This window comes from Homo sapiens, chromosome 21, assembly GCF_000001405.40.
Source record: "Homo sapiens chromosome 21, GRCh38.p14 Primary Assembly".
In the NCBI taxonomy this organism is placed as follows: domain Eukaryota; kingdom Metazoa; phylum Chordata; class Mammalia; order Primates; family Hominidae; genus Homo; species Homo sapiens.
In genome coordinates, this window is record NC_000021.9 from 45,263,935 (window position 1) to 45,284,724 (window position 20,790).

Here is a 20,790-nt window from a genome sequence, read left to right on the forward strand (position 1 = left end):
TTCCATAAAGCAGTTTATTTTTCTTAAAAAGGAAGGTACATGGTCACAGTCCAAAATGTTTTATACAGCTCTCAGCCTGGAAAATGCAACTGATGAAAAAGGCACTGTTTCTAGAACAAATGGAAAAAGAATAAATATGTCATCATTTACCCTGCACAGCTTTGAGTAACACCATAGGACCCTGTCACACGTTCAGGGTCAATTTTAAAAGCTTGAGAAGACACAGCAAGGTGATGTCCTAGACTAGCCAGGCTCCGAAAGGAAGAGCTGTCTGTCCCTCCTAACTGTCCTCTCTCTGTCACAGGTGTCCATGTCACTGTTCCTCTAGCAGATGTGGAAAGTGGCTGCTCAGTGAGGACTCAGCCCCCACCAACCTGACTGAGGGTCACACGACACCATGGTGGAAAGTCACAAAGGGTAACGGGCCAAGAGGGTGAGGGGGGCTCCCTGACCCTGAGGACCCCTGAGGCACTGCTGCACCTTCCACGGATTCTGTGTCTAGCGTTGCCCTCTTTGCAGATGCCCCTCGTGGTGGTGGCACAAAGACCTAAAAATGATTTCTGTAAAATGGGTACAAGGAGCTCCCTGATAAAGCAGCTCATCCTAGACAGCCTTTTGGAGTTAGCGTAACTGTCCTTCCTCATTTCTAGTTCTCAATAGCGAATGGCAGACCTGGAGGCCCCATGTGCACCTGCCAGCCGGGGCGAGGGCAGGGACGGCCAGCCGGGCGAGGGCGGGGCAGTCGGGGTGAGGGTGGGGCGGGGCAGTCGGGGCGAGGGAGGGGTGGCCAGTGGGGGCGAGGGTGGGTGGCCAGCCGGGCCTGGTGTGAGGAGCAGAGCTGCAAGTTTCCTACAGACAATCCACTGAGTGCCCCAGAGACGTCACTGAAAAACTTCCCAGTGCTCTGACGTGCCAGCAGTAGGGCCTGAACTGTCATCCCTCCACGGGGCTCCCTGAGGCCTCAGGCCCTTTCCTTTGCAGCACCAGGTCTGCCTTGCACGCATCCCAGGAGGAAACACACAGGCAGCCTCCTGCTGCGCGGAGGGCAACGGAGAGATTCATGAGGCCCCTGGTCGCTCTGCAGACATTTAAAATGACGCTTCTCCTTGCACCAGCTCCCAGGGAAATGTCAGCCCGGGTCCACCTGACGGAGGGCAGCTCACCCGCCTGCATCTATCCTCAATGCACTTAAAATATGAAGACATGAAAGGTGGCTGGAAAGGCCAGAGCGGGAGCCTGACAAACACTCCTGCTTCTGGGTCACCACGCGGGCACTGCTGGCAACCGAGCTGTGGGTTCACAGACGCTGCCTGAAAACAACCGCCACCCCCGAGAGCAGCGGAGCCTCTTCATCAGCCATGGCGGCTGGCAACGCCGAGGACGGAGCCCAGCTCTAGAGGCGTGGGGCCTCTTCTGGGCCTGGGACCCTGCGAGGGACGGTCCTGTCCGCCCAGCTCCCGGCTGGCAGTAGACGGTGACTCCACGGCGACAGAACCTGCATCCACCCGCGCCTGTCGGGTCCGGGGAGCGGCCCTGGAGGATCCTCCTCAGTAGGTGATCTTCCAGTGGGTGGGTTGCTCACACGCCTTCTCTTGGTCTCCGCAGAACCTGTTGTACGTCGTCTTGGGGTCCAACCCCAGGATTTCTCTTTCCTCATGAATCCGAAAAGAAAATGTTGAGACTGAGGTGCCAATAAAAAACCTGCAAAGGATCACAGAGGTTCCAGAGTCAGGGAGAACTGGCGTCACAGAGGTTCCAGAGTCAGGGAGAACTGAGAGGAGCAGCTGAGTGAAATGAGTTCCACAGTTACATGGAACCAACACGGCCGTCCCCCGAGCACCCACCAGCCGGCCGCCCCCTTGCTGGCACCCCTCGCTCAGGTGCCCTCGACATCGGCGCCCTGAGGGGCTCTGCCTGGTGCTGCAGCCCCATCCACACCCCACAGTCAGCAGCCGCCACGCTCCTGTCCCACCGCATGTCCCCCTGGGAGCCCTCCTCTCCGTCACCAAATCCCAGGCCAGGCACGCCAGTGCAGGTCGAATACCTCCTGGGGGTCACATGGTGAACAATGAGAGATTCCTACTAACCACACACTGTCTAGCCAGGGCATGGCGGGTCCTTATCCTGAGGCACAGTAGACATCACGGAGGTCAAGGCCCCCTCCACACACACGCTGTATGGGCTGGTGGGGACACCCTTCTCCAGGGGTTTCTCCAGACCTCAGGTCAGCGGCCTGCCCGTTCCTCCGGCTCCTGCGCAGCTGGTCTCTGGCTCTCCAGCGGCACTTCATGAACTTCGTGAACAAGCAAACCCCAGAGATGTTTCCAGAGCAAATGTAACATGCACAGCGCTGTACACAGAGCCACAGGGCCAGCAGGCCACACAGGCCTGTATGCTGCTGCGGGGTGCAGCACTGGTGGGGAGACCCTCACCACCCCACACACAGGGGCCTGCCAGAGCAGGCCGCGCCGGCCCGGAGGCAGGGCAGCTTCAGTGAGCTGGGCCGAGCGCTTCGCGCAGCTGAGGGCAGGAGGCTGAGAGCTCAGTGCGAAGCCTCCCCACAGCAGGCTTCCTGGGCTGCGGAGACAGCACCGCCAAGGTCGCAGTCAAAATCCCAAGGCCACACCTGAGAAGCAGGGGTGAGTTCGTAACTGGGCTCCTGCACACCTCCGCCCTGACCTAAGAAGTCAGCGCTGCATCCTGTCTGCTTAACAGGGAAAGGGACCCACACCCAGCAGACAGCATCACCCGGAGCCTCTGTGGGTCTTACACACCATGCCCAGAACACCACAGGAAATAGCAGATGTGTGAAGAGGCACCGGCTCAGGGCGCTCAGCATTCCTCGGGCAGGAGAGAGACAGACTAACCCACAGAGACGCACGCGTGTGCACAGTGCTAACCACGGGGAAGATCATTCCCTCTACTTTCATTTTCCATTTAACTCAAACCGTTTCACCCTAACCCCAGCCTTCATCTCCTATGCAGATGGGCAGGCAGGTCTTTGGAGGAACAGAGGCCCAGGCGTACCTCCCACAGCAACCCCAGAGGAATGACTGCACGCAGGGCCCACGCTCCCGGCCTCTGGGACGCTCACGGCAGCCCCACGAGAATGATCACACGAGGGCCCACGCTCCCGGCCTCGGGGACGCTCACGGCAGCCCCACAAGAACGATCACACGAGGGCCCATGCTCCCAGCCTTGGGGACGCTCATGGCAGCCCCACGAGAATGATCACACGAGGGCCCACGCTCCCGGCCTCGGGGACGCTCACGGATGCTCAACAACACAGCAACAAGGACATGCCCAAGTCCAGGGCACGGGCAACTCTCAGGGCAGGGGGCAGACAGGGGCAGAAACCGGGAATGATGGGAAAATGCGACACAAGAAGAGGTTCTGAGACGAGGCCAGCTATGCCAACAGCCTGCTATGGAGGAATTCTGTGCATGAGAACTAAAGGGGCAAGATGAACAATTAACTTCAGCCCAGGGAAACACTGAACCAGATGCTACAGGAGACTCAGACGAGGAGGCAAACAGTATGGAAATGACCACTGTGAACACAGGCGACCATCTGCTCTGACACCGAGTACTTGGGACAGAAGAACCTTTGAAAGCCACCCGACCCGCTCTCGGCCGACAGTGACGTGGGCAGGCACCTGGCGTGTGCGCAGATCCACTGGTCAATAATCGCAACGCCTCCGTCCTTGTAGAGCTCCAGCTCCTCCCACGTGGGTTCAAACCTCACCATCTCGGGTAACAGCTTTTTTAGCTCTTCATATTCTGCAAAGTAGAAGGAGAGACCCTTTGAACCGGGATCCTCCAGTAAGGACAGATACGTGACTCTTTAGCAGACAGACATGCGTACTTGGCTTCTGGTTAATTCGTTAGGAACTGGCTCCAAAGGTGCAGACACACAACTCAGCTTTACCCTCCCAGGAATTACAGTTGAAGATCATGCAGATCTTCATGGATCTGGGTAGTTCCAGGTCTACCCAGAACAGAACCAGGGATCAAGAAGAAAGGAAAGAAACGTGCTCCCTCTCCCTCTCCTTCTCCCTCTCCCTCTCCCCACGGTCTCCCTCTCTTTCCACGGTCTCCCTCTCATGCGGAGCCAAAGCTGGACTGTGCTGCTGCCATCTCGGCTCACTGCAACCTCCCTGCCTGGTTCTCCTGCCTCAGCCTGCCGAGTGCCTGCGATTGCAGGCACGCGCCACCACGCCTGACTGGTTTTGGTGGAGACGGGGTTTCGCTGTGTTGGCCGGGCCGGTCTCCAGCCCCTAACCGCGAGTGATCCGCCAGCCTCGGCCTCCCGAGGTGCTGGGATTGCAGACGGAGTCTCGTTCACTCAGTGCTCGATGGTGCCCAGGCTGGAGTGCAGTGGCGTGATCTCGGCTCGCTACAACCTACACCTCCCAGCCGCCTGCCTTGGCCTCCCAAAGTGCCAAGATTGCAGCCTCTGCCCGGCCGCCACCCCATCTGGGAAGTGAGGAGTGTCTCTGCCTGGCCGCCCATCGTCTGGGATGTGAGGAGCCCCTCTGCCTGGCTGCCCAGTCTGGAAAGTGAGGAGCATCTCCGCCCGGCCGCCATCCCATCTAGGAAGTGAGGAGCACCTCTTTCCGGCCGCCATCACATCTAGGAAGTGAGGAGCGTCTCTGCCCAGCCGCCCATCGTCTGAGATGTGGGGAGCGCCTCTGCCCCGCCGCCCCATCTGGGATGTGAGGAGCGCCTCTGCCTGGCCACGACCCCGTCTGGGAGGTGAGGAGCGTCTCTGCCCGGCCGCCCCGTCTGAGAAGTGAGGAGCCTCTCCGCCCGGCAGCCACCCCATCTGGGAAGTGAGGAGCGTCTCCGCCCGGCAGCCACCCCGTCCGGGAGGGAGGTGGGGGGGTCAGCCCTCCGCCCGGCCAGCCGCCCCGTCCGGGAGGGAGGTGGGGGGGTCAGCACCCCGGGCGGCCAGCCGCCCCGTCCGGGAGGGAGGTGGGGGGGTCAGCCCCCCGCCTGGCCAGCCGCCCCGTCCGGGAGGTGAGGGGCGCCTCTGCCCGGCCGCCCCTACTGGGAAGCAAAGAGCCCCTCTGCCCGGCCAGCCGCCCCGTCTGGGAGGGAGGTGGGGGGGTCAGCCCCCCGCCTGGCCAGCCGCCCCGTCCGGGAGGTGAGGGGCGCCTCTGCCCGGCCGCCCCTACTGGGAAGTGAAGAGCCCCTCTGCCCGGCCAGCCGCCCCGTCTGGGAGGGAGGTGGGGGGGTCAGCCCCCCGCCCGGCCAGCCGCCCCGTCCGGGAGGTGAGGGGCGCCTCTGCCCGGCCGCCCCTACTGGGAAGTGAAGAGCCCCTCTGCCCGGCCACCACCCCGTCTGGGAGGGGTACCCAACAGCTCATTGAGAACAGGCCAGGATGACAATGGCGGCTTTGTGGAATAGAAAGGCGGGAAAGGTGGGGAAAAGATTGAGAAATCGGATGGTTGCCGTGTCTGTGTAGAAAGAAGTAGACATGGGAGACTTTTCATTTTGTTCTGCACTAAGAAAAATTCTTCTGCCTTGGGATCCTGTTGATCTGTGACCTTACCCCCAACCCTGTGCTCTCTGAAACATGTGCTGTGTCCACTCAGGGTTAAATGGATTAAGGGCGGTACAAGATGTGCTTTGTTAAACAGACGCTTGAAGGCAGCATGCTCGTTAAGAGTCATCACCAATCCCTAATCTCAAGTAATCAGGGACACAAACACTGCGGAAGGCCGCAGGGTCCTCTGCCTAGGAAAACCAGAGACCTTTGTTCACTTGTTTATCTGCTGACCTTCCCTCCACTATTGTTCCATGACCCTGCCAAAATCCCCGTCTGTGAGAAACACCCAAGAATTATCAATAAAAAAAATAAATTAAAAGAAAGGAAAGAAACGAAAGCATTGAAGCTCCATACCCTTTCTGACGGCATCTGTGGCCACAAACACCTTGTCCAGCCGGTGGGTCTTCATGAGGCTGCGGATCTTCCTCACGGCCCCTTCCAGACTGGGTACATCCTGTCTGTGACCCCAGATGAAATCTTTTCTTCTCAGGTGGACTCCCAGGTAGGGGCCCCCTAGCGCGGAGCCCAGCTTGACCTAGCAAAGAACCACAAGGAAATGCAGAAGCTGACAGGCGGGCTCGGGGCTCATCCTGGGCACCGGGTGGGACTCGAGACGCAGAGGGATGACCCTTTCCATGTGGCCTCCTCCACGGGGTGGCTCCAGGGCTGTCTAAGGGATTCAGGTGGAATCTCGGGGGCGACCAGATGTCTTTCTAAGAAGACAGTGAAGCAGTATTAATTACCAGAAATCATTTTATCTGAGGTAAAGAAAAATATTTAAAAAGAGAACAGCATGTGGAGGCTCACGCTGTGAACTTTTCCTCCGAGAACCACCGCAGGGACGTGCCACAAAGAGTTCACGGATCCTGTGGACAAAGCAGCTCACAGCTGCAAACTCCCCGGGAGCCAGAATGCTCTGCTGCCCTCTTGACAGTGCCACCTCCTGGCTGGAGGCCACCAACGCAAATGGCTACAGCAAATTCTAACCAACAACCCTGCTCCAAGGAAGGAGAAAGCAACAGCTAATCCCACCACCTGCAACCTCCTGGCTGTCCACAGGTCCCGAGTCTGTCCACGTGACAACTTCACTGCAGCATAACCAGCATTCGAGAAAGCCAGTGCACTCAACAAAACTACAACCAAGGACCCCCCCAGAGTCCACTTCACTCCCCCGCCACCTCCAGCAGAGCAGGTGCTGGAACCCATGGCTGGGAGACCCGAAGACGGATCACAGCACAGGACTCTCCGCAGACATTCCCCAGCAGCATCCCAGGGCCTGGTAGCCCCACTGGGTGGCTAGACCCAGAAGAGCAATAACAATCACTGCAGCCCAGCTCTCAGGGAGCCCCATCCCTAGGGGAAGGCGAAGAGCGCCACAGAGCACCCCGTGGGATAAAAGAATCTGAACAGTAGCCCGTGAGTTCCAGATCTTTCCACTGAAGTAGTCTGCCCAAATGAGAAGCAGGCAGAAAAGCAATTGTGATAATATGACAAAACAAGGTTCTATAGTACCCCCAAAAGATCATAGTAGCTCCCCAGCAATGGATCCAAACCAGGAAGAAATCTCTCAATTGCCAGATAAAGAATTCCGAAGGTTCATTATTAAGCTACTCAAGGACATACCAGACAAAGGTGAAAACCAACTTAAAGAAATTAAAAAAAAAACAACAACAACAATATGGATGAAAAATGCTCCAGATAACTAGGTATCTTAAAGGAAAAACAATTGCAACTTCTGGAAATGAAAGACACACTTAAAGAAACGAAATACACTGGAAAGTTTCAATAATAGACTAGAACAGGAGAAGAAAGAGCTTCAGAGCTCGAAGACAAGGTTTTCAAATTAGCCCAATCCAACAAACAAGAAAAAAGAATAGTAAAAAAAATGAACAAAGCCTCCAAGAAATTTGGAATTATGTTAAACAACCAAACCTAAGGATAATTGGTGTTCCTGAGGAAGAAGAGTAATCTAAAAGTTTGGAAAACTTATTTGAGGGAATAATTGAGGAAAACTTACCTGGTCTTGCTAGAGATCTAGACATCCAAATACAGGAAGCTCAAAGAATACCTGGGCAATTCATCACAAAAAGATCATCTCCTAGGCACACAGTCATCAGGTTATCTAAAGTCAAGATGAAGGAAAGAATCTTAAGAGCTGTGAGCCAAAAGCACCAGGTAACCTATAAAGGAAAACCTATCAGATTCACAGCAGATTTCTCAGCAGAAACCTACAAGCTACAAGGGACTGGGGTCCTATCTTCAGCCTCCACAAACAAAGTAATTATCAGCCAAGAATTTTATATCCAGCAAAACTAAGCTTCATAAATGAAGGAGAGATCATCTTTTTCAGACAAACAAATGCTGAGAGAATTCACCACTCCCAAAGCCAGCTCTACAAGAAATGTTAAAGAAGTTCTAAATCTTGAAACAAAACCTCAAAATACGCCAAAATAGAACCTTCTTAAAGCATAAATCTCACAGGGCATATAAAACAACGCAATGAAAAAGAAAGAAAACAGAGTATTCAGGCAGCAACTAGTATGATGAATAGAATACAGTACCTCACACCTCAATACCAAAGTTGAATGTAAATGGCTTAGAGACTCCACTTAAGAGAAACAGAATGGCAGAATGGAAAAAAATCCACCTGAAAGCTGTGAGGCAAAAGTCTTCAAGAGACTGACCTAACACATAAGGACTCACACAAACTTAAGGTAAAGGGGTGGAAAAAGATACTCCATGCAAATGGACACCAAAAGCGAGTACAGTAGTATTCTTATATCAGACAAAACAGACTTTAAAGCAACAACAGTTAAAAAAGATGGAGGAACATTATATAATGATAAAAGGATCAGTCCAACGGGAGAATGCCACAATCCTAATTATACATGCACCTAACACTGGAGCTACCAAATTTATAAAACAATTACTACTAGACCTAAAAAATGAGATAGACAGCAATACAACATAAGTGGGGACTTCAATACTCCACTGACAGCACTGGACAGGTCATCAAGACAGAAAGCCAACAAAGAAACAATAGACTCAAACTATACCCTGGAACAAGTGGACTAAAATATTTACAGAACATTCTACGCAACAGCTGCAGAATATACATTCTGTTCGTAAGCATATGGAACGTTATCCAAGATAAACCATATGATTGGCCACAAAACAAGCCTCAATAAATTTAAGAAAATCAAAATTATGTCAAGTACCCTCTCAGACCACAGTGGAGTAAAACTGGAAATTAAATCCAAAAGGAACCCTCAAAACTATACAAACACATGGAAATTAAATAATCTGCTCCTGATCTTTGGGTCAACAATGAAATTAAGATGGAAATTTAAAAATTCTTTGAACTGAACAATAACACTGACATAACTTATCAAAACCCCTGGGACACAGCAAAAGTGGTGCCAAGAGGAAAATTCACAGCATTAAATGCTTACATCAAAAAATCTGAAAGAGCACAGACAATCTAAGGTCATACCTCAAGGAATGAGAGAAACAAGGACAAACCCAAACCCAGCAGAAGAAAACCACCAAGATGAGAGCAGAACTAAATGAAATTGAAATGAACAGACAAAAAAATACAAAAGTTAAATGAAACAATAAGCTGGTTCTCTGAAAAGATAAACAACATTGATAGACCATTAGTGAGATTAATGAAGAAGAGAGAAGATCCAAATAAGGTCAATTAGAAACAAAACGGGAGATATTACAGTCGATACCATAGAAACACAAAATAATCATCCAAGGCTACTATGAACACTTTTATGCGCACAAACTGGAAAATCAAGAGGATAAATTCCTGGAAATACACAACCCTTCTAGATATAGACCAGGAAGAAATATAAACTCTGAACAGACCAATAACAAGTAGTGAGATTGAGACAGTAATTTAAAAATTGCCAACAAAAAAAGTCCAGGACCCAATGAATTCACAGCTGAAATCAGACACTGAAAGAAGAAGTGGTATCAATTCTACTGAAACTATTCCAAAAGACAGAGAAAGAGGGAATCCTCCATAAATCAACAGACCAATATCCCTGATGAACATAGATGCAAAAATCCTTAACAAAATACTAGCTAACCGAATCCAACAACATATCAAAAAGATAACACAACATGATCAAATGGGTATCATACCAGGGATGCAGGGATGGTTTAACATATCCAAGTCAACAAATGTGACACACCACCTAAACAGCACTAAAAACAAAAATCATATGATCATTTCAATAGATGCAGAAGAGGCATTTGACAAAATCCGGCATTGCTTTAAGATTAAAACCCTCAGCAAAGGTGGCATAGAAGGGACATACCTCAAGATAATAAAAGTCATCTATGACAAATCCAAAGCCAACATTATACTGACGGGGGAAAAGTTGAAAGCATTCACCCTGAGAACTGGAGCAAGACAAGGATGCCCACTCTCACCACTTCTATTCAACATAGTACTAGAAGTCCTAGTCAGGGCAATCAGACAAGAGAAAGAAATAAACGGCATCCAAATCAGTAAAGAGGAAGTCAAACTGTCACTGTTCACTGATGATATAATTGTATACCTAGGAAACCCTAAAGACTCATCCAAAAAGCTCCCAGATCTGATAAATGAATTCAGTAAAGTTTCAGGACACAAAATCAATGTACACAACTCAGTAGCACTGCTACACACCAACAACAACCAAGCTGAGAATCAAACCAAGAACTCAACTCCTTTTACAACAGCTGCAAACAAACAAACAAACAAAAACAACCAAAAAAACCCACAAAACTTGATCTCTACAAGGAAAATTACAAAACACTGCTGAAAGAATTCATAGACAACAAAAACTAATGGAAATACATCCCATGCTCATGGATGGGTAGAATCAATATTGTGAAAATGACCATACTACAAAAGCAATCTATCAGTGCAATTCCCATCAAAATGCCATCATCATTCTTCACAGAACTAGAAAAAACAAAAACCTAAAATTCATATGGAACCAAAACAGAGCCTACATAGCCAAAGCAAAACTACTAAGCAAAAAGTACAAATCTGGAAGTACACAATACTCAACTTCAAACTATCCTACAAGGCTATAGTTACCAAAACAGCATGGTACCGCTATAAAAATAGGTACCTAGACCAGTGGAGCAGAAGAGAACCCAGAAATAAAGCCAAATACTTACAGCCAACTGATCTTCGACAAAGCAAACAAAAACATAAAGTGGGGAAAGGACATTCTATTCAAAAATGGTGTGGGGATATTGGCAGCCCACATGTAGAAGAATGAAACTGGATCATCAACTCAAGGTGGATTAAAGACTTAAATCTAAGACCTGAAATCATAAAAATTCTAGACGATAACATCAGAAAAACTCTTCTAGACACTGGCTTAGGCAAAGAGTTCCTGACCAAGAACCCAAAGCAAATGCAACAAAAACAAACATTAATAGATAGGGCATAATTAAACTAAAAAGCTTCTGCACGGCAAAAGAAACAATCAGCGAACAGCTCCCAGAGTGGGAGGAAATACTTGCACACTTTGCATCCGACCAAGGACTAATATCCAGAATCTACAAGGAAATGAAACAGATCAGCATGAAAAAACAAATAATCCCATCAAAACATAGGCTAGGGACAGGAATAGACAATTCTCAAGATACACAAATGGCCAACAAACGTATGAAAAAATGCTTAACTTCACTAATGATCAGGGAAATGCAAATGAAAACCACAACAGGATACTACCTTACTCCTGCAAGAATGGCCATAATTTAAAAACCCAAAAATAATGGATGTCGGCACGGATGCAGTGAAAGGGATACTGCGACACTCCTGGTGGGAATGTCAACTAGTACAACCATTGTGGAAAACAGTGTGGAGATTCCTTAAAGAGCTAAAAGTAGAACTACCATTTGATCCAGCAATCCCACTGCTGGGTATCTACCCAGAGGAAAAGAAGCCACTATATGAAAAAGACACTTGCATATGCATGTTTATAGCAGCACAATCCACAGCTGCAAAAACATGGAACCGGCCTGAATGCCCATTGACCAATGAGTGGATAAAGAAAATGTGGTACATCAGCCATAACAAGGAACGAAATGAATGCATTTGCAGCAACCTGGATGGAGCTGGAGACCATTATTCTAAGTGAAGTAACTCAGGAATGGAAAACCAAATATTGTATGTTCTCACGGGAACTAAGCTATGAGGATGTAAAGGCATAAGAATGACACAATGGACTTTGGGGACTCGAGGGGAAGAGTGGAGGGGGTGAGGGATAAAAGACTACACATTGGGGACAGTGTACACTGCTCGGGTGATGGGTGTACCAAAATCTCAGAAACTACCACTTTATCCATGTAACCAAACACCACCTGCTCCCCAAAAATGATTAAGGCTAAAAAAAAAAAATGATAAAATAAGCCAGGCACAGTGGCTCACGCCTGTAATCCCAGCACTCTGGGAGGCCAAGGCGGGTGGATTACTTGAGGTCAGGAGTTTGAGACCAGCCTGGCCAACATGGGAAAATCCTGTCTGTACTCAAAATACAAAAATTAGCCGGGTGCGGTGGCACGCGCCTGTGATCCCAGCTACTCGGGAGGCTGAGGCAGGAGAATTGCTTGAACCCGGGAGGCAGAGGTTGCAGTGAGCTGAGATCGTGTCACTGCACTCCGGCCTGGGCGACAGAGTGAGACTCTGTCTCAAAACGAAAACAAAAACAAATTAATTAAATAAAATTAAAAATAAAATTAAAAAGAATAAAAAAAAAACACTGAAAAGAAACACAAGTGGGATAAAAATGAAAAAAAATCTTCTATATTTTTTCCCCAGTAAAAACTGTCCAAGTAACTTAATTATTGCTGGAACAATGAATGCTATTCCACTTGGAAATAGCTCAAATACCCCATAAAGAACAAGCGAGTAAAATGGCACTTCTATGAAAGTTTTGTTTAAAAAACGCTAAAAACAGACACTGAAAATGCTTAAAAACAATATCAAGTTGAAAAAGCAACACATTTGTTGAAATTACATCACAGAAAAACTCAAACTTTCAGAAAACACTTAAAAATATATACAAAGAATAAGAAAAGGATGATTCTAGACCAAAACAGCACTGATGGTGCTTTTGGGTGAGTCCAGGTGAACGCTGCTTTTTTCTCTTTATCAATCAAGTCAAGAGGGAAAAAGGCCGAACGTGCCTCTGACCACCTCGAGCTCCTGCTTCCGCGCTCCTGGCCTTGCCGCGCTCTGAGAACACCTTTGAGTCCGCTGGGCCTGCCATGACTGCCCGTGTTACTAAAGGTAAAGCCAGGCCGAGTGACTCCCTGAGTCTGCACATGACGAGGGCCCCAGGGTCCCGGCGCCTCCCGAGAGCAGGTCATTACTGTGACTCACATTCCAGAGAGGCGCCGAGGCATCCACGCCCACAGACACGCCAACCCTGCTGTGACTTTACATGGAAGGCCTGAGTGTGGGGCATCTCCAGAGAGACTTTACCTTTTCTCTAATTAACAAAAGGGAGGGGGGCTACCTTCATCTTCATCCAGTCCTCCTGGAAGGGGATCCTGTCTGCGTCGTCCGTGGAGTTGAGATGTCTGCTCCTGAACTCGTCTCCCACCTCCCGCAGGTGCCTGGCAAACACCATGCTGCGACGGGTCTGTGGAAACGGCGACGGCTCGGCTGAGAACACGCCCGCCCGCCACGCAGCCCTCCCGGAGCGGGTTCTCCTGTCGCTGCCACCACCCACCCCCGCAGCTGGAACAAGCCCCTCAGACACGTCATCCACGGTCGCCTGAGAAGCAGCGCCATCCACGGTGGAGGCTCTTGGAGGGTCTCCTGCATGAAGCCAACGCAGGGCAAGCCGCCCACCCCTGCCGGCTCTGCCAGCCCCTGCCGTGGGAAGCTGCGGCACACACTGGGCTCAGCTGGCCGTTGCCCCTGGCTGGCACAACTGTGTGCAGCTCCTTCCCCTCAGTCTCTCCCCAACTCGACTTCTAGCTTAGGCGGTTAGCACATCCTGCTTTGCCAAACGGGGTGGGACTGACCTGCACAAAGTCCCACGTGAGCAGGGACTGTGTCTCCTGCAGGCAGGTTCCGGCTTTACAAGCTGCTGCCCTGGTGAACACGTCAGCAGGCCTGCTGTGTCCACGGGAGGGGGCAGCCACTTCCCGCCCTCTGCTCCCACTCACTCACAGAACCAGGGGTGGCTATGGGAAGTCACCCCATCAATGCGGAAATCAACGCCAACGGAAAAGACCCGCTGCAGAGAATAGTCCCACCTTTCAAAGCTAAAGAGAGGAGAAAGGAGGGGTCTACGTTCCAGCCACTGACGGAGTCACTGACTCCGGGGCTGACTCCAGGGCGCTGCCACCGCATTCAGGGCCTGTGGCATCAGAGGGGAGAGCTGGGTGGCCCTGCGGGCTCCCGAGGACCTGGCTCTGCAGCCACGTGAGGCTTGGGGGTGGCACAGTCACCGCAGTTGCCCAAATCCATGGCTTAAAATGATGGTTTTAATCAGCAAGGTTCAAAAAGAGCTGTCGACTGTTTTAAATTTTCAAAAGCTAAATAATGGGCAACATACACTAACTGAGAAAAACGCTCCCGAGGAAACACTCACATCCCAGTATTCTTTCCCTCCATAGTGGTCGTGAAGTAGGTTCTCGGCTCTGTCTAACATCACGGACCTGTTTTTAAACAACAGAAGAATAAACAGTTATAAGAGTTAAGGATGATGACATTCACACTCTCAGAGCACAAACTGGGAGAACCCCGGGCCGAGGAAGCAGAGACCAAGTCTCCGAGGGACACTAACCAGGGCGCGTTGGGTGGTTATGGCTGAGACACAGGCAGGCTGCTGTCTGGCCTCCACACCACGGTTCTGAGAGGGCTTTAATGCCTACTGTCAACGAACAGAATGACATCAGAGAAAAGTATCTCCTAATTTGAGGAGTGTATTTGACAGTGGGCAAAAGGCTTGGAATCCAGGATCCACCGACGGCTATGGCAAGCTGCAGGCGTGCCTGAGGAGGGGAGGGTGGGGGAAGGTTTTCTTTGACAAAAAGGAGAGGTTCACATAAGCTGCCTGGAAACAAATTCACTGACTCGAGCTCAAAGCCGGAGCTGCATCTGTTCCGTGGTAGAGACGCCATTCCTGGGCAGGCATTCTTTCCACAGCGTCTCGTCCGAATTACTGCAACCCTTGTCCGGTGGCAAACCTAGTCCCAGGAACACGGGCACACGACTGAAGCAGCGGCTGTGAAAGGTGAGGTGCGTGAAGCACGTGAGGAACGTCCTGGGGTTATTTCAGAGAGCCCTCCAGCTGGCCTTTATCTCAGACTCGCAGGCAGGTGCCTCCTCCTCAGTGCCTTCCTTGCTCCAGTTTGGGTCTGACAAGTCATCCTGGTGCCTGTGACTGTCACGTTACCTAATTCCACGTGGGAAGTGCCTCTCCTATTCCAGCCATTGAGCCAACCGTCTCACCAAACTCCCCCCAGGGCTCTTGATGCAAAATAAAAACGAAACACACAAAATGGACCGTGAGCAAATAGACCTGAATATTGGGGTGGTAAAGGCTGGAATACAAAAACGCAGAAATTTTTAAGGAAAAATAAAAATTTTAATTTTGGCCAGGCGCAGTGGCTCACGCCTCTAATCCCAGCACTTTGGGAGGCCAAGGTGGGCGGATCACGAGGTCAGGAGATCGAGACCATCCTGGCTAAGACGGTGAAACCCCGTCTCTACTAAAAATACAAAAAAATTAGCCGGGCGCGGTGGTGCATGCCACAAGTAGCCCCAGCTACTTGGGAGGCTGAGACAGGAGAATCGCTTGAACCCAGGAGACTGAGGTTGCAGTGAGCCGAGATCGCGCCACTGCACTCCAGCCTGGGCAACAGAGCAAGACTCAGTCTCAAAAAAAATACAAAAAACAAACAAACAAAAAAATGTAATCTCTACAGAGAAAAAATGAGCAACATATCTAAGTTGGCATTTTATAGAATAACATTTCAAAAGGCTTTTAAAGTGTAGTTTTACTCTGAAATCAAAGAAACACACACGAACAGAGCAAGGATTCCACATTTTGCTACTGGATCCACACAGATGGAAGCTCTCGGCCCTCGTGGCTGCCTGGGAACCAGCCGTGCACGGCCACTGCGGGGACTCTGAGGACTGCACCAAGGGCACACCCAGCCATCCTCTTCTGGGTGGCATCCTACAGTTTTACGCCCTCATGGTTCACACAAAGACTCTTCTACAGAAACCTGGAAACAACCAAAAGCCACATTTTCTTCCATCTGTACACAGACAACTGCAAAAGAACGAGGTGATGTCCATGTGTCGTAATACCCAGGTGAATGGCTGGGTGGGAAGAAAGGGCAAACTGAAAACCGCATGGAGAGGGCACGTGTGGTGATTCCACGTGTGTTTCAAAAGATGGCTGCATGCACAGGCGGCCATGTGAGGCGATTTCTGGAGAGATGGGTGTAGCTGGATTCAGTGGGTGCCTCCGGCCCTGCTTCTAATGCCGTTTTAAGGGCTTTTTATGAAATGCAATACTGCACTTCAAGACGCACATTCCACACGGGCGCGGGTAGAGGACATTCCGCACGGGCACAGGTAGACAAACTGCTCCAAAATGAACACGGTGCAGCCCCCACCCGGGTGGAGGAACAAGGAGGAAGAAAGCGCTTCACACACTTGCTCTGCCCCGTCCTCAGGGGCCTCCCCGGCATCCTCCCATCTCTCCCTCCGATGCACGGGACTGTCTTTGACCTTCATGCACATGGAACATGACTACATTTATCTTTTTCTTTTTTTTTACTGGGCATTATATCTTGATTTCTCTTTGTTGAACACGGCAGCAGGTTGCCCATCTTCAGCTGTGGATCTACCACACTCTATCCAGTGCGTGGCTGAGGGGTGCACGTGTTTTCCTGGTCCGGGGAGGCTATGAACGTTCCTGGGCAGGGGTCTGCGGGTGCATGTCCCGCATTCAGGGTGCACTGGGTTCCCAGGGTTTTACCAGATTCTTGCTCCAGGAGCAGCCTTTGAGCCCCTGCAGGCCTGTCCTCCCGACAGCGGTTGGTTTCCCGAGCATGACAGCAATGGGGGCACCTGCTCGCATTAACAGCAGCTGTCCTTACTCCTGAATCGCATGGATCCTGTGTTGGACTCACCTCACCCCAGGCTGCCCGTCCCTCACTCGCTGAGTTTCGTCTCAATTGCACGGATCCCGTCTTGGACTCGCCTCACCCCAGGCTGCCTGTCCCTCACTCGCTGGGTTTCGTCTCAATTGCACGGATCCCGTCTTGGACTCGCCTCACCCCAGGCTGCCCGTCCCTCACTCGCTGAGTTTCGTCTCCTGTATCCCAGAGAGTCCTTAGTTTATCAAATGTGCTGCAGGACCTCCCTCTCTGAGGCCTGTCTCCATTTTTCTAATGGACAAAAGTTCTTGATTTTAAAGTAACTGGCTTTACCAATCTTTCTTTTTTGGTCCATGCTTTTCCCATCTTGTTGAAGAAAGCTTTCTGCCCCACGGTGGTGAGGCTCCTCTCCTGACGGCTTGATAGCTTCACCTTCCCATTAGGGCTTTAACCCCCGGAAGAGACTTTCCCTGGGTGCTGGGGGCAGATGACCTCACCGCCCATCATCAGCCTCCTTTTCCACTGCGCCTTTTCCCCCTGCTCCCCGGCAGAAGCGTTTCTCCTAAATCAGGACCATCTAGTTGGAAGCCCCCTCTGGGCTCAGCTCCATTCTAACCTGTAAATGTGAGTCAAAAAAACTGACTGGCAAGACTGTTCCACAGGCCCCAAACGTAGGCAGACTGGCTTCCAAAACCCGAATATTGTCATGAAATGAACCCAGTCCCAGGACAACATTAAAGCTGCATCTCAACAACCAAAACAATTCAGCCTAGCTCCCTCCACAACCTCTGAGTTCTGTCTGCAACAGCCGGGCTGGCTGAGCAGCAGACACGCGGGCCTGTGATGGAGCCACCTGCCTTCACAAAGGCCCAGAGCAGCTGAGACCATGTGGTCCCGGCCCGCTGGGGCCAGCGGCAGCTGTTACTGACCAGGGTGATACCGAGCCAGCTGTGATGTGCAACAGGATCGTGGCTGATGGCCTCTAGAGGCACACACAGGGCACGACAGCAGACAAGGCAGCCTCAACGTGGGCAAGTGCGAGGGGCACCCGTGCCCTGCTATGCCTGGTCTATGGGAGACGCTCACAGTGCCTGCTGGGGGATTCAGAAGACCCAAGGGAGGTGACGGAGAGGGTCCCAGTCTGCAGCAAGTTCTAAGAACGTGGCCATCAACAATTCCCTCCAGAGTTTACGACATCATCAGGTACTGACTTGTCTGCAACCCCAGCCTCCTGGGTGGACCCTCGAGGCCCAGCTCACCAGGCCGGCGACCACTTGAGGCAGACGCATGGCCAAAGGTGGCTGCATGATCCTCCCCAGACCCGTGAGGCAGAAAACAGATCAAACAGTGGGTGTTGGGTGTGGGGAGGGGGGAGGTACTGGTAAAAGCTGCCCAAGTGCTACAAATCGAGAACAGTCTCATGGTGAGCTCCCCGCCGCCCCCAGCCCAGCTCAGCCCCTCCCTGTGCACCTGGCCGGGCCGAGCCCTCACCTCTGTGCCCCTCACCCGCTGTCCACGTCACCCACTGCACCCACTGGGCTGTTTCGCAGAGACACATGCAAGCACTTCCCTAACCACCACCCCCCAGGGCCCCCAGGGTCCGCTGTCTGTGAGGTGGGTGGGCCAGGGATGCGGGAGTATGGGCGGAGAGCCCCCAGCCCAGCATGCACGGAGCAGACGCCACAGCCTCCAGGCTGCTCCCGGGGGGCCTGGGGCACTCACCGGGCTGATGTGTTTCTCAGCAGCAGGGGCGCCACGATGGAGGCTGAGCCCTGGACGGACAGACAGGAGACGTTTAGACCCCTGGTCTCCTCATAACCCCAAAACCATCCTCTGGAAAACAAAACCCACAGCAGCTCTATCAGTTTATTTTGCTTTCACAAGGAAAACAAATCAAGTCTAGACACGCACACACTGTGGCTTGCTCCTGATGAAACGCGGCTGCTTTAGGAAAACTTACTGATCGTGACTGCAGATCGTGACATTCTAGTAAAATTTTAAAAGAAGCCCATGAGTGTCTCTCAGGCTGATGGACCACTGAGGCTTTCCCCATGATAGGGGCTGGCGGGATGGCCGGGGAGGCAGAGGGAGCCGGACAGAGGCAGCCCTGTGCACCTTCAGGGCCAGCCTGGCTGTGACCGTCAGCCAAGTCAACCGCGCCCTTCCCAAGAGCTCACCTGCCATGCTTTAGAGCCAGCTGCCCTGGCACTGGACACATGGAGGCTGTTAACTGACAGCTTTTCCACAGGAGGCCTGGTAGTGTCAGAGCCTTTAATGGCAATCGACACTTGGGACTGACAAGACCTCCATCCCTGTGGCAACATCCAAATGCATGAAAAGACACAGGGAAAGAGGCACGGGGTCTCAGCCAGATGTTCATCACGGCCCATTCTCCAGGCCTCAGCACAAAGGGGAACCGCCTGTCAAGGACGAGGAACGGTGTGGGCAGCCACAAGCGCTACCACCACAAGGGCCGCCGCAACACTGTCAGGATGCCCAGGAGGGGACGCCCAGAACCCTGCATCAGCAACCAGCATGGGCAGCGAGGGCACTGCGGGGGAGGCGGTTGCGGCCGGGGGGAGTGGGGGGTGAAGACACCGTGGCGGGGGGAGGCGGGGTGCTGCAGGGGGGGCGGGGGGCACCCACGGTGGTGGGGAGGAGTGGGCGGGGGGCGCCTGAGGCGGGGGGGGGGGGACGCATGCGGCAGGGGGAGGTGGGGGGGCACCTGCGGCAGGGGGAGCAGCCTCAGCAGGCACCTGTAGTACTCGTGCTTGTCCTGGGAGTACAGGAGCTGATCAATACACGGCCGCTCGTCCACCTTCTCTTCCCAGGTCCCTTCTTTCCACCCCTCTGCGTAACTTTGCAGGACGTAAACCTGGTCAATAAAGGGCCCACCAGATTCTGAAAGACACCAAGAAAAGCCAGGCAGTGTGACAGCGATCAGAAGCTCACTTACGGGCATGCATCAGTCACCAGCAGCTGACTCTTACTACTGTACACCACCCTATTCCCAAAGGGAGTGTAGGAGGCTCACAAAAGCAGAGACAGGGCAGAGCACATGCCATGAGGGCACAGGGCCATCAGCGTGCAACTGCAGCTGGCGGGGGGTGGTGTGGAGCTGGTACCCGATTCCCCGGCCCTACCCCTGCCTGGCTGCAGCAGGCCCCATCCTCACAGGGGCCCGTGTGAGCCCATCCGGCCCTCACGCCGTGGTCCAGGCTGTTCCCTGCCAGGACCACTCCCCTTGGGGGCTCGCCCTCCGGCCCTCTGTGAGGCCACTGTCCCCTACCCCCCTGGTTTCCCACAGCGCTCCTCACCCCCTCGGCCACCATCTACTGCACTGGTGTCCTGCCTCCCCCGGGGACAGAGGCTCAGGTGAGCAGGAGTCGTGCCTCTTACCCACGGCCCGACCCGCACCAAGAAGGTGGCACTGTGACGCCCAAGAGGTCAGCAATTAAGATCTGCTCAAAGGCAGCAGGAATAAAGCGGGAGGGAGCACCGCGCAGGTGAAGTTCTGGGGCAGGAACAAAGCGGGAGGGAGCACCGCGCAGGTGAAATTCTGGGGCAGGAACAAAGCGGGAGGGAGCATCGCGCAGGTGAAGTTCTGGGGCAGGAACAAAGCGGGAGGGAGCATCGCGAAGGTGAAGTTCTGGTATCCTTTTTGCTCACTCATGACTGGGGGCTAAGGGCTGCGTGGCCTAAGGGCCTGAGGCCACAGCTGCGGGGGCTTCTTTTAGGCTAGTGGGAGGTGGTGAAGATCCTGCACGCTGGGCGCTATGTCAGCCACATCAGGAGCTCACCGTGTGCAGTCTCTTGGCAGCCTCGCCCTAGGACAGGCACCCAGTTCCTTCCCCACCTCACAGGCGAGGAAACAGCTCAGCAAAGCCCCAGGCTGGTGGATGGCAGGTAAGCGTGAGACCAGCATATGTGCCTCAGAAGCTCATTACACAGCATCTGTCTTCCCAGACCTTCCCAAGCACTTGGATGCCCAAGGCCCAGACCTGTCCGCTTCCCTGTCAGGAAACCCACTGGTACCAAAGGGAGGTAAGGATAGCATCTCTGGGTTCCTATAACCCAATGTTCAGACCGAGGGCTGGC

At 52.4% G+C, this 20,790-nt stretch overlaps 1 protein-coding gene across 20 annotated transcripts in view, besides 1 other annotated feature; it reads right to left on the reverse strand.

Moving 5' to 3' along the window:
* POFUT2 (protein O-fucosyltransferase 2) overlaps nucleotides 1-20,790 on the reverse strand; it is a 23,961-nt gene continuing 3,171 nt past the window's right edge. For 3 of the 20 annotated variants that reach the window (XM_047440723.1, XM_011529504.4, XM_011529510.3), the window contains 8 exons: nucleotides 19,449-19,593; nucleotides 18,870-19,004; nucleotides 18,415-18,525; nucleotides 14,169-14,235; nucleotides 13,083-13,208; nucleotides 5,905-6,085; nucleotides 3,656-3,779; nucleotides 1-1,701 (listed from right to left, as the gene is read on the reverse strand). In XM_047440723.1, coding sequence (XP_047296679.1) covers nucleotides 1,548-1,701; nucleotides 3,656-3,779; nucleotides 5,905-6,085; nucleotides 13,083-13,208; nucleotides 14,169-14,235; nucleotides 18,415-18,525; nucleotides 18,870-19,004; nucleotides 19,449-19,593 — 1,043 coding nt within the window. In that variant the 3' untranslated portion in view covers nucleotides 1-1,547. Of the gene's footprint in view, nucleotides 3,780-5,904; nucleotides 6,086-7,628; nucleotides 7,673-13,082; nucleotides 13,209-13,596; nucleotides 13,840-14,162; nucleotides 14,236-18,414; nucleotides 18,526-18,869; nucleotides 19,113-19,417; nucleotides 19,594-20,790 lie in introns of those variants that run through there. The other 17 variants (NM_133635.6, XM_006723981.5, XM_047440727.1 and 14 more) reach the window with 13 other exon arrangements.
* Nucleotides 15,627-16,826: an enhancer, noted in NCBI's record as "MED14-independent group 3 enhancer chr21:46699476-46700675 (GRCh37/hg19 assembly coordinates)". NCBI's record gives its function as "activates an origin of replication core promoter dependent on BRD2, BRD4, P300/CBP and CDK7 cofactors, and independent of MED14, by STARR-seq in HCT116 cells {active_cell/tissue: HCT116}" and the evidence as "EXISTENCE:reporter gene assay evidence [ECO:0000049][PMID:35650434]".